Consider the following 17,816-nt stretch of genomic DNA (forward strand, 5'->3'; position numbering starts at 1 on the left):
CTCCTCTCCATCTCCACCAGCAGATGCCAGGTCACACAGCTATCATTTCCTGCCTGGATTACCGCAGTATCCTCAGTCCTTCCTCATCCACTTATGCTGGCCTCTCCTCTGACAGTCACACCACAGGATGAAGAGATTGAGAAGAAAACCTGGCAAATCTGATACATCTTTCTAGTACTTAAAACACAGCAAAAGCTTCCCATGGCTCTTAGGATAAAGACCAAAATACTTGCCAGGGCCTGCAGAGCCCCCTGTAGGACCTGGCTGCTTCCCCATGCTGACTCACTACAGGCCCCCTTGTTCCCCACCACCTTGGTGTTTTACAGTCTCTCAAATGCACCACGCTCAGGTTTTTGCATATGCTGTTCCAGTTGCCTAGAAAGCTCAACTCCTTTCTCCCATTCAGACCTCAGCAGAGATGTCTCTTCTCTTTGCAAGTTTCCCTGACCTTCCAGCGCAGACCAGGTTCCCATGACGCAAGTCCTCTCTACTTCCTCGACTTTTCCACTGGGAGTGGGAGAGACCCCTCAGTTTGCCATTATGTATGGGGATGAATTGATCAGTGTCTGCCTCCGCCACTAGAGGCAGCAGCAGCATTTTCTTTTCTTATCCTAAGCATCAAGTACAGTGCCTGATGTATACAATAAGGGTTTTGTACATCTATGATTTTACTGTTATAGTAAAATATACATAACATACAATTTATCATTACCATTTGAACCATTTTTAAGTATTCAGTAATGTGGCATTAAGCACATTCACATTGTTCTGCAACTATCACTGCCATTTATCTCCAGAAAATTTTTGTCTTCCCAAACTCATGCTACCATTAAACAACTTCCCATTCCCTACTCCTCCCAGCCCCTGGCAACTGTCACTCTCCTTTATCTCTATAAATTTGTCAGTAAACATTTTTATGAATGAATCTGTCAGCAGGATCCTGTGTCCAGGTCTCTCTCTGAACTCCACTGACTCCCTATCCGTTTTCCTCTCTAAGCCTTTGTTTCACCAACAATTAAAACGAGGAGGTGGAATTCAGTAAATACTCATGTCCTCTTTTGTTCTTAAAATTTCATTAATTTCTTTTAAATTTTCATAACTAGACAACAGCTATAAAAAGTCAGCTTCTTCTTCTTAGCAGCTCTCTAAACATATGCTATACACACACCAGTCTAGAAAGATGTGCATGAATTCCTTGCCTAAATATAGGGAGATGCACTAGTTAACCAGCTGAGGGTATTCCAGACCTGTGAGTTGGGCTTAAATTTGTCTAACAGGCAAAGTGGAGCCAGGTGTGTTTAATCAATTAGCAATCACCAAAGTGACAACGAAGCATATTTTGTTAAAGAGAAGTTACAACACACACACACACACACACGCACACACACACACACACACCTTAAATAAGGAAAATTGCTTCAGTGTTAGTTTCCTAACACTGGGGTTCAACTAAAATCTATGTCCTGTGATTAAGGATGTGGCTACGTATAATCACAGTTGGTAGCGGGATAGAATAACTGTTCTGTCTCATTCAACTCACATTCATTCCCCAAAAGCCCTTAGGTGCTAAGGTGCACTAGGTTCTGGAGACACTAAGATGAGTAGGATGCAGTCCTGGCTCTCTAAAGCTGGCACTACATGTGCATATATGGAAGTTGGGAGCTCCTTATTTTACTAAACATATAGTTTGTATATTGTGCTGTCCTGTCCCCATTTCCAGAAGGCATGTACTGTATATAGAAGGATTTGAATCCTTCCATGGCTTTGTGGCCATGAACAAGTCACCTTATTTCACTGAGGCTCAGTTTCTTCATCTGTAAAATGGGAATGATTCCTTTCTCATAGGGATATAAGGAAGATCACTTAACATGTCTAGCAGAGCATCTGGTAGATGGTAGGCTCTTTGCACTTTGGGTCTTTTCCCTGGCAACTGAGTTTAAGGTTCTCAATCTAATGACTACATAATTTAGTGTTCAAGCACCAACAGTAGTTTCCTCAGATGAGGACTTCCTTGGAGCTCACAAGATAATGGTCTTGCAGTGGCTAAAGGATGATAAGAAAAGGAAACACTTCGAAATCAAGTCATCAGAAAAAGAAAAGAGCTAAAAGTTAGAGTTTCAAGCTTTATGATGTCATCTGAGAACCTGGATTCTCTCAGGTTGGATTTTCATTTAATCCTGTAATTTCTAGTTACATAAATAAATTCCTTTTGTTGGTCGCTTAAGACTTTTTGAGGTGAGTTTTCCATCGCTTGCAACTGAGAGATTTCTGAACAATATAATAGTCATCACTATTCCTACCTTAGACAGGAGGAAACAGGCTCAAAGAGAACTGACCTGCTCAGGTAGCAGGAGGCTGACCTGGGCTTTGAGGAAGTTTCATTGACATGCAAGTGTATGCCTGGTTTATTGTAAGTACTAATTAATATTGGAATTATAATCATGAAATGTCTTTGGTTATATATTAAGATAAAGCACATACATAAATATATTGCTATTAAAAAAACAAGATTTTCAGTGAAAGAAAAATGAGACACAAATACTTTAAAAACTTAAGAAATAACTCTGCAATGTTAAATTTGAATTAGAAATGTCAATACAAACTTGAATTAAAATACATACTCCTAGCACTGTTCACCAAAAGGACATAGAAGCAATGAAACCCCAGTAGCTATGAGCACACCTAATATAGCTACTTACTATCTAGCTATCTATTTATCCATTGATCTTTTAACCTATCTAGTGAGAGAATCAGAGAAGGCAAATACGGCAAAAGGTTAAGTTTTAGAATTATCCTTTTACATTTTGTGTTTGAGCATTTTCATGGTAAGTTGGAAAAAAATTTAAATCTTAGCATGTTCCTTTCTCTACCTCCACTCCCTCTCCCTTTCTCTGAGAACAGGAGAAGTCAAGGTACTGAGCACTTCAATGACTTAACTGAAAGTCAGCTGCAGACAAAAGACCTTTATCACTTCCACTTCAGTCAACCGTTGGTCCAAACCATAAGAGAGTCTTTAAGAAGACACACGTGCTTAGAAGTGCTTCATGTTAGAGTTGCCAGTTTCCTTTGTTCCTTCTGTATTCCCACGGCCTGCATCAATACATATTAGCCAGTATCTTTCTTTTTCTGTTTTATGTTATTTGTATATTTTTAAACTTAATTTAATTTTAAGTTCCAGGATACATGTGCAGGACATGCAGGTTTGTTGCATAGGTAAAAGTGTACCATGGTGGTACTTATCAACCCATCACCTAGGTATTAAGCCCACACCCATAGCTATATTTACCCTGATGTTCTCCCTCCCCCTGATCCCCCAACAGGCCCCAGTGTGTGTTGTTCCCCTCCCTGTGTCCATGTGTTCTAATTGTTCAGCTCCCACTTATAAGTGAAAACATGCGGTATTTGGTTTTCTGTTCCTGTGTTAGTTTGCCGAGGATAACAGCTTCCAGCTCCATCCATGTCCCTGCAAAAGACATAATCTTGTTCCCCTTTATCAGCCAGTACTTTTCTATTTTCAGCAACAACATTTTTCAAAGTTCAGGCTGAATAAGTATGGAAACAATTTGTACTCCTGACTCTCTGGGCCAGGGGTTGAGTGGGTCGGGGTGCAGATTCCCAAAATTGGAAGATTCTCCAAACATGCATAAGAATTCAAACTTTATTTTCACTACATTAAAAAAGGGGAGGTGTTGCTATGCATAGAGTTCCTGCTATATGCTAGGCATTGTGCTACGTACTCTACGTATATAATCCTCACTTCCACTCACCCATCAACCTTGCCTATTATTTCCCCTACTTTACTATGGAGGTACCTGAGACACAGAAGGGTTAAGTAACTTGCCCCGGGTCACACAGCCCATAAGGCAGACCTGGACTGCTGCCAGGTATGGCTGGCTCCAGACTCTAGGCAGCCTCTGTGCACTTGAATACAGTTTCAAATGTACTTTAATGGCCTATATTTTCATTCTTCTAAAATCCTTATTTTTATTTCTGTTTCGTTCTGCATGAAGAATCCTAATAACCATTGTGGGTGTTTAGTAATGTAACCAATGGTTTTAACATTTTAGCTCATGGTGTAAAATTATTATAGAAAGCAGGTAAATGAATGCGCTTGAATGGAAATGAAACAGCATGTTTTGCCACAAGTCACTGCAGAAACGAGGTCATTATATTTAATAGAAAATGACTTTTTGTGTTGTACCCAGTCTGAAATTAACCTCTGCCTTGGTCACAATGATGTCTTGCATGCTAGACAGAAACTTACAAAAAAGTGAATTGACTAAAATGCAGCCAATGGAAAGGATGCTGCATTAGGAGTGAGACGACTGGGATTCCAAGTTCCGGTGTCTTCATTTGTAAAATGAGGTGGATAGCAGGTGGTGGTCGTGACAAACAATGACTTCTGAGGGTGCTGAGGTAAGGCATGATTTGGAGTAGACACAGGTCAGCATCTGAAACCCACATCTGATGTGTGCTACTTTCGTTAACTTGGACAAATCACCTAGCTTCTCTGAACCTTAGTGTCCTCATCTGTGAGTTCATTCAATTGAAGTACGAATTAAATGTGATTATGCTGGTAAAGTGCCTAGCGTTCCGCCTGGCACAAAGGTTGTTTAGTAAATGGGAGTTGCTCTCCAGCTCAAATATTCTGCTATCCAAATTGTTTGTCATTGTTAAGTGTTGAATTATGCCCCCAACCCCCATTCATATATTGAAGTCCTAAACTCCAGTACTTCAGAAAGTGATCTTATTTAAAAACAGAGTCATTATAGAAGTATTTATTTAAGATGAGATCATACAGGGTGGCCCACTGATTCAATATGAATGGTGTCCTTATAAAAGAAGGAAATCTGGGCACAGACATGTATATGGAGAGAAGGCCATATACAGATGATGGCAGAGATCATGGTGATATGCCCAGAAGAAATGCCAAAGGCTGCCAGCAATCCACCAGAAGCTAGGGGACAGGCATGGACCAGTCTTCTGCACAGCCCTCAGAAAGAACAATCCCTGCAGACACCTTGATCTGGGATGTCCAGGCTCTAAAACTATACAACAAAACATTTCTGTTGTTTCAGCTGTCCAGTTTGTGGTACTTTGGAGAAACAGCCCTTGGAAACTAAATACAGCCATCTTCTTATTTTTATCTTCAGGTCCTTTTGTTTAAGGAGTTTGCCAAGATAAACTGTTGATGAGACAAGGGTTAAAAGAAACCAACATGAAATTAAATTCTACGTATTTCGTCTTTCTGCTCTCTCAGTGAGCCTTAATTTTTCAATCTGTAAAATGAAGGGGCAGGAATGATCCCTTCCAGCTCTGCTCTGCTTTTCAATGCAGAATAACAAACCTTTTTGTTTTTCTGTTACTGACAGAACTTGCTACTTAAATCAGAAACACAGAGTGTAGTGCAGTGCCATGCAATTTATAGCTGCATCTATCCAATTATTTCCCATTTAGTGCTGTGCAGCAGTCCCCAAATACACCACCAAACCACTGAGGTGGTGGGCTGAGCTCTCTGAGTACAAGGATCAATTGTTTCTCTTACACTAATTGGCCCCATGATTTGTTAGGCTGTTGCCTTGGAAAATGAACTGTCAGTAAAAGAAATTAGCACCAAATCGCCCCCTTTTGTGAAAATGCACCAAACACCGTTCTGTAGCCATCTCCTTCAACTTACCTTAGGGTCTCAGCAGGCAAAATTGATGCAGATTAATAAATTCTTACCCTCAGTTCTACCATTTGCCTGTTAGAGATGAGAAAACTGAGGTTCAGGGGGATTAAGCAACTTGTCTAATGTTTCATCAATGGTGAAATTCAGCACTGAGGCTGATGGCCAGTCTGATGCCAAGCTTCATGCCCGTTTTACTACATCAGGTCATCTCCTTAGGGCTGTGATCATCAAGCTCTGCCCAGCTGTCTGCCTTCTTGTCCCTCCTTCCTGGCATAGATTTTCATCTCTGTGCCAGACTTAGAGACAACTGCGCCCAAGTGAGGGCAGATGTGAAGAAGCTAGGCTGTCTGCATCAAATACCTAGGCATTCTGCATCAAATACTGCCCGCTACTGGCCCAGCTCTGATGTGCCCCCAGGACTCAATTCTAGTAATGGGGCATCTGCCTTGATCCAGAAACACTGTGCTAGGTGCTGGGGGTGCAAAGCACTGGCAAGGCCCTTGCCTCCGAGGAGCTCACACTCTACAGCAGAGAAGGGAGGTCAGGTGTCTTTGTTAATGTTTTCAAAGAAACCATTCCTTTTCTTCCTAACACAAACCACAGTCTAATGATCCCTTCATGTGTATAATTACCTGGCTAATATCTGCTGCCTCTACGAGACACAGGAAAGTGCTCCCATGTTCGTTTTTGGCTCACCATCACATCCCCAGCTCCTCGCACACTGTATGACACTTGGGGGCGGGGGGTGGCAGAGTTCAGTAATGATTCACGGAGTGAATAAGTGAATATTGTGTTTATGCAATAGTAAAGGCATAGCCAGGGTAAGCATGGAGGTCTGAAGTGACTAAATTAGTAGGAACTGACTAGATAAAAATTAGTGAGTGTGGGAGCGGTGGGGATCAAGATGTTCTATCCAGAAGGATAGCAATGACTTGCAGAGCTATAAAACAGCATGTTATATAGGCAACTGCAATCAGTATGGGATTATTAGGCAATAAAATGCTGGGCAGTGAGTGACAGTCTTTGAAGGTGACAAGACAGGCAGGGGTCAGGGGATGCAGAATTTTGAAGGCCAGTTTAAAAAACTGGAGTGGTTGAAATTGTCAGCTCCTTTCTAATTGACCCTGCTGTTAATCTTTGCTGCAGTTAAGCCTTCCCACATGCTGCAAATAGAGTCCTTCTTCAGGTTCGAGGACAGAGAGTTGAGCTGTCCCTCCCAGCTGGGTGCCCGTCGATGGAAGCCATATCCTAGGGCTCTCTCTAACACAGTGTGCCAAGGGATGCTCAGCTGAAGCATCGGGGAGGTTGGTTCATAGGCGAACAGATGGTTACAAATAAACCTGGCTCTCCCTGCTGGAGGAGAGGGTCTGAGGGCCCTGGCCAGGCTGCAGCTGGACTTGAGCAACTGTTCTTTTTCTCTGGGTTATAAAAGAAGCAGACTCTCTGGTCTGGGGACAGTTTGGCAAAGTGTTTGTGAGCCGAAGATAAATCCTGCCTCCCCTCACTGCCTAATCCCTGCTTCCTGGTCTACAGTCCGTGACCCACAGAAATTCATTCAAAGTTCTTTAGTAACAGGTGACAGGGGTTCTGTCTTAAACACACACACACACACACACACACACACACACACACACACACATGAAAAAAACCTGAATGGCGGGGGGAGGGGGTCAGGGGGTGGTGACAGTGGTGATGGCAATGTGCCTCTTTGTTTAATTAGCTGCACTGGCAGTTTTTGGAGACAACTGGATGTGTTTTCCTAACTAATAGCATAAGGCTTTATAACACCTGACGGTGAAATTGATGAGTGAGCACGTGTGTCAGTGTTGAATGGGTCTGGGTCATTCCTTGGCTCTGCTACTTTCTTCTCCACTGTATTATTACCTTGGGGAAGTCAAAGATCTGTGGTGTCCATCGATGTCCCCATTTGTGGGATACTGTTTCAGAGCACCACCTTGAAGGCTGCAAGGTAAGCTTGGGTGTTTGGCAGAGGTAAGTGACTGAGAGGGATCTGAGAGGGCCAGCAAGAACCCTGGGCACAGAGCTATGTAACCTGGATGTTTCATCCATTGTCCTTTCAGTAAACAACCCATGAAAGCTTGCTGTGGGTTGCATGCCAGAAAGGCACAGGGCATAGAAAACACATGTGACCAGTAGCAGTCCCTACCCTCCAGAGACACACGACCTGCAGGAGACAGCCAGGTGCATGGGCAACTGTAATAGGGCATGGCAAGTTCTCAGAGAGATGGAGATGCAGAGCCTGGGCTGGGGGATCACGTAATCAGGGCAAGTTAGCCTCACTGGGGCAGGATGCCGGGAAGAGAAAACGTTCGGGCTAATTCACAAGAAATAAGGAGTCACCAAGGGAGAAGGGGAGAGAAGTACACTGTAAGGCACAGACAGCAGTGGGTGCAAATGCCAGGGCAGAAGGAGGCAGCTCCAGAAAATTCTGAAGGGTTCTAGACGTGGGTGTTGAGAGGGTGTTTGTCTGAGGTCATCTGTAGGGCCCTTCCATATGACTTTCCAGAGCAACCTCTCTCTGCAATCGGAAGGAGAGTTGGGACTGAGCCCAAATGTGGAAGCCTGTGCCTGTCATTTTGAAAACTCTGTTGAGGTTTCAGGGTTGAGCCACTGAAGGACTGGCATTGGAACTCCTGAAAGGGTTTCCATCTCCAGTTGGATTAGCTGCCTCTGTTCTGTGCTCCCTGAGCCTCTTTTTCTCTGCTTTCCCTTTGCTCAGAAGACTTGCTATTCTGATTTGCAATGACTCATTATCTAGCCACCTATCTTTAACCTGTCCGGGCTTCCACTGATGAATCTGTGCAAGAATGTCAGTGGCTAGCCTACTTGGCAGAGCTGGTGCAGGGATCATAATAGACCAGCAATGGAAAGTAGGATGCGCTGTTGACAAAGATTCTGTCCTTGACCAAGCTCTACTTGGCTCCTCTGAGCCCTCTTCTTCGCTAGGCCTCAACCTTGGCCTAGAAAGATGTAAACAAACACTAACAGAGTTTCTTTTTTTGTTTTGTTTTGATTTTTGAGACAGAATTTTGCTCTTGTTGCCCAGGCTGGAGTGCAATGGCCCAAACTCGGCTCACTACAATCTCCACCTCCTGGGTTCAAGTGATTCTCATGCCTCAGCCTCCCGAATAGCTGGGATTACAGGCATGCACCACCACACCTGGCTAATTTTTGTATCTTTAGTAGAGACGGGGTTTCACCATGTTGGTCAGGCTGGTCTTGAACTCCTGACCTCAGGTGGTCCAACTGCCTCAGCCTCCCAAAGTGTCGGGATTACAGGCGTGAGCCAGTGAGCCTGGCCCCACTAACACTGAGTTTCTAAGAGATCAAAGCCACGTCCCTAGGATGGCCCTAGTCTCCCTTAAAGTGCCTGCCTAAGAAAACTCAGAGCTGCCAGAGGAATTTACTGTTTGTTTCAGCCAACACCTGAAGATTGGGCCCATCTCCCAGACTCTTTGGAGGGTAGGAGCCTAAGTTTGATAAATGCCAGTTACCCAGATGGGTTTCACATGGATCAACCTGCTACCACTTCCCCTTCTCCCAGTGCCCACCTCCAGCTTTTTGGGATTTTTCACTTCCCTGACTCTACTCAAGCTCTCACTATTTCCCCTCCCACTCTCTCATTCTCCCTTGAAACAGCCCAGTCACCTCTGCACAAATCGGAATGTAGTTCAGCTCTTTTCTCTACTGTCAATTGTTACTGAATAAAATCTGTTTCACTGCTTTAACTGTGAATGTCCAGCTGTGTTTATCTTTGACACCACACAGGCGATAATCATCTCCACCTATAGCTTGAGATGCAGGCCCCGGCTTTAAGTGCCTTACACATTCTTTTACTAATTGTCACCCTGGCATGTGAGGCAGTCTGGCTAGAGGACCGGAACGGTGAAGCACAATGGTTAAGGGCACAGACCCTGGAGCCAGAGGTCAAACGCTGGCCTTTCACTCACAAGCAATGTACACCTGGGCTAAACACCTATGCTTTTTGTGACTTTCCTTTCTCACCTGTATAATGGGAATAACTGTTTCCACCTTATAGAACTGTTATGAGAATTATATGAAATTACACGTGACTTGCTTAGCATCGTGTCCAGAATACAGAAAGTGCTTAATAAATGTTATATTGTTATTTCAAACTATTCAAAGTGTATCCCATGAGGGAATAACTTCTCTGTTTATGTACAATATACCCCCTTACCTAGAACGTATCCTGGTACAAAGTTAATGCTTAGTAAGTGTTTGTGGAATGTATTAGGCCATTCTTGCATTGCTATAAAGAAATACCTGAGACTGGGTAATTTATAACAAAAAGATACGTAATTGGCTCACTGTTCTTCGGGCTGTACAAGCAGGGTGCCAGCATCTGCTCAGCAAATTTCCAGAGCAACCCCTTATTGCAAAACAAAAGGGAGATGGGCCAGGGAGCTTTTACTCATGGCGGAAGGTGAAGCAGGACCAGGCATATCAGATGGCCAGAGCAGGGGCATGAGAGAGTGAGGTGGGGGTGAGGGATGGGGGAGCTGCCACATACTTAAACAACCAGATCTTGCAAGAAATTACTTACTATCACAAGGACAGCACTAAGCCATGCGGGATCCGTCCCCGTGACCCAAACACCTCCCACCAGGCCCCACCTCCAACATTGGGGATTACATCTTAACATGAGATTTGATGGGGACATATATTCAAGACATATCATTGAGTAAATGATTTGATGTAAGAAATATTGATCTCTGCTCTATTTCTACAGGCTTTACAGTCTTGTCCCAGAACTGTACTGTGACTGCTGGTTTGTGAACACACAAGAGCATTTGTGGCCCCCTTGACTATACCTACACACAATATATAATTGCATATTTTATAATACGAGGCAGATAAGAATGTGACTGAGTGAGTCCTTGTGACACAGCCGACACCCAGCATGGGGCAACAAGGGGATGTGGCCAGAAGAAACCTTCACAGCTCTGGGCTCAAGTGAGCAGAGGCAAAACTTGGCTTGAAACTGCTGCAATGCATTCTTTCTTTGTGTATCAGAATGCAATGAGGGACAAAGTGATAGGAGTTGTCAAGTTTTGAAATGAATAATAGGAAGTCTTCAGAGTGAAGCTTATCAAAGAGATGTGCTAAAAATACAGCTGGCTCCAAGAGCATCTGGGAAGCAGAAGGATTAGCGAGGAGCCCTTAATTGCAGCAGAACAAAGACCCCTGCTGAAGGGAATGTTTCTTTCACCAGTTGCACCTGCAAGCAGGTAAGCACAAGGATGAAAATCCAGGGTATCTAGTCTCAATGTCTTCTCCCCACTTCAGGAAATTAATCCGCAAAAGTAGGCATCTAGCAATTTCCTATCATTTGGATACAATGGGGAATATCAAGGGGCTCAGCCAGTTGGGGGAGAGGGAGCCAGCGTTTCTAAAGTGCCCCCTACCTGTCTGATGCTTTTCTTATAGGTTCAAATTTAATTCTCATTACAAGCCAGTGAGAAAGGTTTATTATCACTTATTTGCCAGAGAAAGACACTGAGGTTCAAACAAGTGAGGTTGCAGGCCCAAGTTCAAACCTCTAGAATACAAAACTCCCAGGGCTAGATCCGAATTCCTATCTCCTAGCTATTCCCAAATCCAAGAGATGACAATATATTGCTTATTATACATTTCCTTTAAGTGTCCTCTAATTGAAGTATGTCTTCTAAAACAGAGGTCCCCAACCCCCGGACCATGGCCAGGTACCAATCTGTGGCCTGTTAGAAACCAGGCTGCATAGCATGAGGTGAGTGAGCAGTACCGCCTGAGCTCTACCTCCTATCAGATCAGTAGCAGCATTAGAGTCTCATAGGAGCGCGAACCCTATTGTGAACTGCGTGCCAGAGATCTACGTTGCACACTCCTTACGAGAATCTAATGCTTGATGATCTAAGGTGGAACAGTTTTATCCTGAAACTATCCCTCACCCCGCCCCACCCCAAACTGCTATGCATTATAGCAGTTTCAAGCCAAGTTTTGCCTCTGCTTACTTGAGCCCAGAGCTGTGAGGGTTTCTTCTTGCCACATCCCCTTGTTGCCCCATGCTGGGTGTCTGCTGTGTCACAAGGACTCACTCAGGGTGAGTGGAAAAACTGTTTTCCATGAAACTGGTCTCCGGTGTCAAAAAGATTAGGGACTGCTATTCTAAAATATTGATAAATTGTCTCTACATCCATCCATCCAGCCTTTCCTGTTTTGATTTAAAAAAAAATACTTCCCATTGCTTCTGTAGACCCACGGAATATAAGACAAGTATCTCATTGTATCATTCAAGGTTCTTTGGAATCTATCAGTTAACAACCACATCGTAGTTTTATTTTAAAGCTCTATGTAATTTATTTATTTCATTCATTATCTCATTTTGTTATCCTTATAATAAAATGAAGAAGGTATTTAGCTCAGAGAGACTAAGTAATCAGCCCAAAGTCACATCTAGGAAGCAGAAGATTAGATATCAGCACCCTTGAATGCCTTCTGATTCAGAAGTTCATGCTTTTTCTATATCATCTTGATAGAAGCAGCAAGTGCAGAGGTTAAGAACATGGACACTGGAACCAGACTGCCTGGGGGCCCTGCCACTTACCAGCTATGTGACCTTTGCTAAAGATTTATCTTTTCTGTGCCTCTGTTTGCTTATCTGTAAAACATGGATAACCACAGTACCAACATTATGGTGTTGTGATGATTCAATAGCTTATACTATTCAATACACTTGAAACAGTTCCTGGCACCTAATAAATGTTACCTAAGTGTGTGGTTTTTGTTTGTTTTGGTTTTTGTTTCTTTTTGAATATGTACCTTCTCCTACAGTTGAGAGCACTCCGTAACTGGCCCAACTCCATCCAGTTAAGAAGTGGGAGAGTAAGGATTTGAATCCAGGTCTGTCTGACTCTTTCAGATGCATCATTGACTCTCTCTTGCATTTCATCTCTCTTTGGCACATGGGATTAGATGCAGAAAAGGACCTGAATGAAGTCTCTCTGTCCTGGCCTAGAATAAGAAAGTGCAGCTCCTGGGTAAACCATGCCGTTAGAAAGACACCCTACCTACCCCTTAGGGGGACATTGGTTCTCACCATTGTATATACGTATTTGCTCATTCAACAAAATCATTTATTGACTACTTCCTGCGTTTCAAGCACCATACTGGACCCTAGAGGTACAGTGCTGAAATAGACATGGCGCCTGCTCCTTTTAAGATTATGGTTGATATTGTTTGGCTGTGTCCCCATCCAAATCTCATCTCCAATTGTAATCCCCATAAATCCCCATGTGTTGAGGGAGGGACCTGGTAGGAAGTGATTGGATCATGGGGGTGGTTATCCCCCATGCTGTTCTCATGATAGTGAGTGAGTTCTCATGAGATGTCATGGTTTTATAAACGGCAGTTTACCCCTGGGTTTCTCTCTTTCCTGCCACCTTGGGAAGACGGTACTTGCTTCTTCTTAGCCTTCTACCACAATTTTAAGTTTCCTGAGGCCTCCCCAATCATGTGAAACTGTGAGTCAATGAAACCTCCTTCTTTATAAATTACCCAGTCTTAATAGCAGTGTGAGAACGAACAAACAGTGGTCTGGCGGGGGAGGGGGGTGGGGGGGCATGCCTGAGCAATAACAACATGGTGTGCCAGGTGCCCTGAGAGGGGAAGTGCAGGGTGACGGGGGAAGCCATGGGAGAAGTCTCTGACAGTTATAAGGGTGAGGGTAAGTCCAAGTACCTATATTCTGAGAAGATGTAGACACATTTAAAAGCTATAAAACTTAGTTTCTTATCCTTAAAGAATAAAAATAATTAAAAAATTAAAAATCCTTTCCAGGCCTTCCTTTTCTAGGCAAAAAATGTAGTCCATTTCTTGATCAGGAAAGGTGTGATTGAGAAGGCGATGGAAGAGGGGTCTTTACTCATGTCATTCCCAGAAGAAAAGGAAAAGCAAGTACAGGGCCTGATAAGATAATGCAAAGACCCAGATAGACCTAGGCTCAAAGAGCAACTGTACTGTTCCATAGCTGCACACTTGCCAGTCCAGAGTAGAGCTGGTCCTAGGTTCTGCAAAAGGTCAGGATGACACACTGGACCTGGGTTCTGGTGGGGTTTCAGGCAGAGGCAGGTGGCTGCTCGTCACCTCCGTCTTTGCATCACAGAGGTATGTCCAAGGTTAAAAATCTGGCACCTTGTGGAGTGGAAAAAGGTCCCCTGGTCAGAGAGTGATACTCTGTTGGCTCTGAGCCTTCTCAGCACCAGAAATAACACATCACCATATAAGGCAATAATTCTAGTACTCAGTGAGCCCAGTTCCAGGCTAATGCCTGAGATCCAGGCCTTGAAAATCATCTTCCACCAGCAATGGAGTAATCTCTACTTATCTACCCTGCAATGTGAGGTCGCAAAGCCTTAGTTTCTTCATCTAAAAAAAAAATGGGAATAATAACATACAATTTCCTTACCATCACTCTGCATAATAATAATTGCAGAGTGACTGTGAAGAATAAAATGGATATTGCATGTAAAATATATAGGCTTATAATAAGCTTCCAATAAATGGTGATGGTGTGTGAATTCCAGTCTGCAAATAACCATATGACTGTGGGCACTACTTTCACTCCTAGAATCCTCAGTTTCAGGCTGGTAAAATGGGAATAGTAAACTACACATCATAAAGTTGTGAGTTAAATGACCTCTGTACGTATCTAGAAGAGGGCCTAGTAAGTCAGATGAGCTCAAGTGTTTAAGAGTCTTAGAGTTGGTTGGGTGCGGTGGCTCACACCTATGATCCCAGCACTTTGGGAGGCCGAGGTGGGCCAATCACTTGAAGTCAGGAGTTTGAGATCAGCCTGGACAACATGGAGAAACCCCTTTCTACTAAAAATACAATTAGCCAGGTGTGGTGTGCACGCCTGTAATACCAGCTATGCAGATGGCCGAGGCACAAGAATCACTTGAACCCAGGAGGTGGAAGTTGCAGTGAGCTGAGGTCATGCCACTGCACTCCAGCCTGGGTGCCAGAGTGAGACTCTGCCTCAAAAAAAAAAAAAAAAAGGAATCTTGGAGTTGACATCTTCAAAACTTTTATTTTTCATTCTTTTTTCTAGTTAACTGAATGTGGTTTCTCTCACTTTTTCATGAATTTTTCACCCCTTCAATAATATTTACTGAGTCTCTGCTACCAGCCAGGCACATAGCAGGGCAGCTTTGGCTATCTGTGTTTCCCCCTCACAGCTCACTTTCAAAGGAAGAAACATAGCCCAACCTCAGCTTGCAAAATCCGGATCACATTCTCCCTTCTTCCTGAGTCTCAGCAAGTCTAGCAGCAAGATTCAAATTCCTTTTTTGCTTTCCCTTATGTACATGCAGATTTGGTTGCTGAAAGCATCTTCTAGTTGACCATCTACCGAGGTAAGAGGGCCTGAGGTCAGAGTGGTTACAGGGAGGAGGCGAAGGGGGGATTTGGGGATGCAGTAATGCTGAAATCAGCCCATCCCACTTCTAAATTACAATTACACATTCACTTCCTTAGGATGGGAAGGATTCATTTCATGACTTTTATGTCTCCTAAAATTATTTTGTGTATTTTTCATGTATCCTAAAATTATTTTGAAACTGATATCAGAGAGTATCTCCTATGAGTAGACCCACTGAAGGATCTTATCACTGTCCTATGCTCAATTCTGTCTCTCATTCCTGGGTCATACCTGGATCACAGGATGCAAATTCCATCCAGGCCAGGCCAGTAGGAAGTCAGGAGGTAGGGTTCTGTGGGTCTGGTTTCTGAGACTTAACTGAGTCTTAAAGTATCTAGTCATGCCCTACCTCTGTACCATAGAAAAGTGGGCTTCCCACATACCTCGATCTCTTGCCCTATATTACTTGTACTCTGCAACCTCATTCATGTTGACTTTGCTCACTTTCAACCTCTTGATGACTTCCTGTGAAAAGCCCTTTTTTGGCTACTGCTTCTCAAGACTGACCTACAACTTTCCCATCTACTGAAATTCAGACTCTCCTTCAGGCTGGGTTGACTCGTTTACCTTTAAGAAAACTCTTGTACCTCTGCATTGAGTTTACCGTAGCACAGCAAGGCCACAGGACAGGATTCCATCTGATGCAGATGTCATTCAGAAATTCAGTGCTATCCTTTCACAGTGAAGGGGGCCCACTGAGTGAGGCAAGCGCCCTTTGTGTCTTTACACTGCCTTGTTGGTTTGTCCCTTTGCCTTTGTTCACCTGAAGGCTCTCTCTTCCTACTTTGGGTAACATGGACAGAGGCCCAATGAGACTGTGACATTTTACCCTGGATCAGAGAACTGGAGAAGGAAGTTCTGAGTCCTGTCTTGCAGGACTGGGAAACTTTGCATAGATATCACCAATGATCCACTGCTACTTCCTACCTGTCTTGGTTTGGCAGATATACTTAGACTCCCCATTTCAAACAAAGAAAAGTCAACTTTCCAAGTCTCAGTTACTTTGGGTTGACGATTAACGGCATCATATATATGAAGTGTCCACCCTGATGGCTGGCACAGTGTAAGCACTCAACATATTTTATTACAGTCAAGAGGGAGGACATTCTGTGGTGGGTGGGAACCAGCTTGAATGAAAGTATGGAGGCTAGGTGTGAGGAGGGAACTTTGGAGTGTGAGGCAGGTGAGTAGGGTTAAATAACGTGGGAAGTAAGGTGGAACCATTCTGGTTAAAGATAAATAAAAGAAGGCCTCAAATGTCAGGATGAGAATTTAGGACTTGATGTATTAGGGACAGTAGCCTATATGTAATTTGTTAAATAAGTGACATAAAAGTGCTCAGAAAAGTTATTGCAAATATGAGAAAGAATAATGCTTCCCATCAAAATAAATATGGCAATGGTGACAACAATAAGGATAAAGATGAGAATAATAGTAATCATAGCAGTAATAGCTGATAATGTTGACTAAATGTTTTCTTCTTGCCAATCACCATGCTAAGAACTTTGATGCATTTTCTCATTTGAGCCTCATCATAAGCCTTTTGGATCATTGCTATTATTATCTATAGTTAACTGATAGGGAAATCGAAGCTGAGAGGGGTTGTCCTTTGTTCAAGATCAGCCAGCTGGAAAAGTAGTGGATTTGGGATTTACACCCAAGCCTTTCTCACTCCAGAGCCGGTGGTTTTTTTCAAAATCCACAAAGCATACCAATTTCCTATTTTCAACCTCTTTGCTTAAAAGCTTACTGCTCATTCTTCCCTGGCTCCTCTCAGAGTACTGCTTTCTGAAATGCCTAAAATAAAAACTCACGAGTCCAATAATAGATATCTCCACCGCAAGAGATATATTTAAACTCCCCCATTTCAAGCAAAGGAACTTGAAGAAAAATTAAATTCAGCAAAAGAAATATTGAGTATCCCACCAGCCACATCTGACATACAAACGAAGCCTGTATGTTTCTGCTCTGCATCCCCATCTTCCTGAGAGCTTTGTTTTCTACTATGGCTCCTCAGGGTCTTGAACTCACTGGGCCCTGGCAAACTCAGCTCATAGGTCAGCTCCTCTCAGGTGCCTTGCCTGACCACCCAAGCTACAGTCACTCCCCACAGTCAATCCCTATCATGTCACCCTCTTTCACAGGCTCCACTGTATTTACTACTTTCTGAAATTAACTTTTTCACTTATTTGTGTCCTTATTTATTGTCTTGCCTGCATTGTTCACTACTATATCCACATGCCTAGAGTACTTACTTGGCATATAGTAGCTAATCAATAAATATTTATTGAATAAATAATACAATGCCTATTCATCCACCAAGGCTCAGCTTAAAAGACTTTCAAGCTGGGATAACTTTTTCTGGGCTCCTATAACATAGGAGGGCTTACTGATCACAGCCCTTGCCCCATGGGATTGTAATTATGGATTTTTCTTGTCTGTTTCTCCAGCTAGGTTATGGCCCCAAGAAGGCAGGGGTAATAGGGCTTTTTGTTAATATATCCTCAGTACCCAGATTAGTATCTAGCAATGAGTGTTGCTAAACAAATATTTGTTGAATATATAGGCAGATAAATGCATGGATAGATGAATTAATAAAAGGAGTAAAGAATGAATGAGCAATATTTTTCCAGTTGCAGAAATTAA

General features: G+C 43.2%; 1 protein-coding gene across 8 annotated transcripts in view; it reads right to left on the reverse strand.

The window, feature by feature from the left end:
* DAB1 (DAB adaptor protein 1) overlaps nt 1-17,816 on the reverse strand; it is a 1,551,949-nt gene that overhangs the window by 84,600 nt on the left and 1,449,533 nt on the right. The window lies entirely within an intron of this gene.

The sequence above is a fragment of the Homo sapiens genome, chromosome 1 (assembly GCF_000001405.40).
Source record: "Homo sapiens chromosome 1, GRCh38.p14 Primary Assembly".
Classification (NCBI taxonomy): Eukaryota; Metazoa; Chordata; class Mammalia; order Primates; family Hominidae; genus Homo; species Homo sapiens.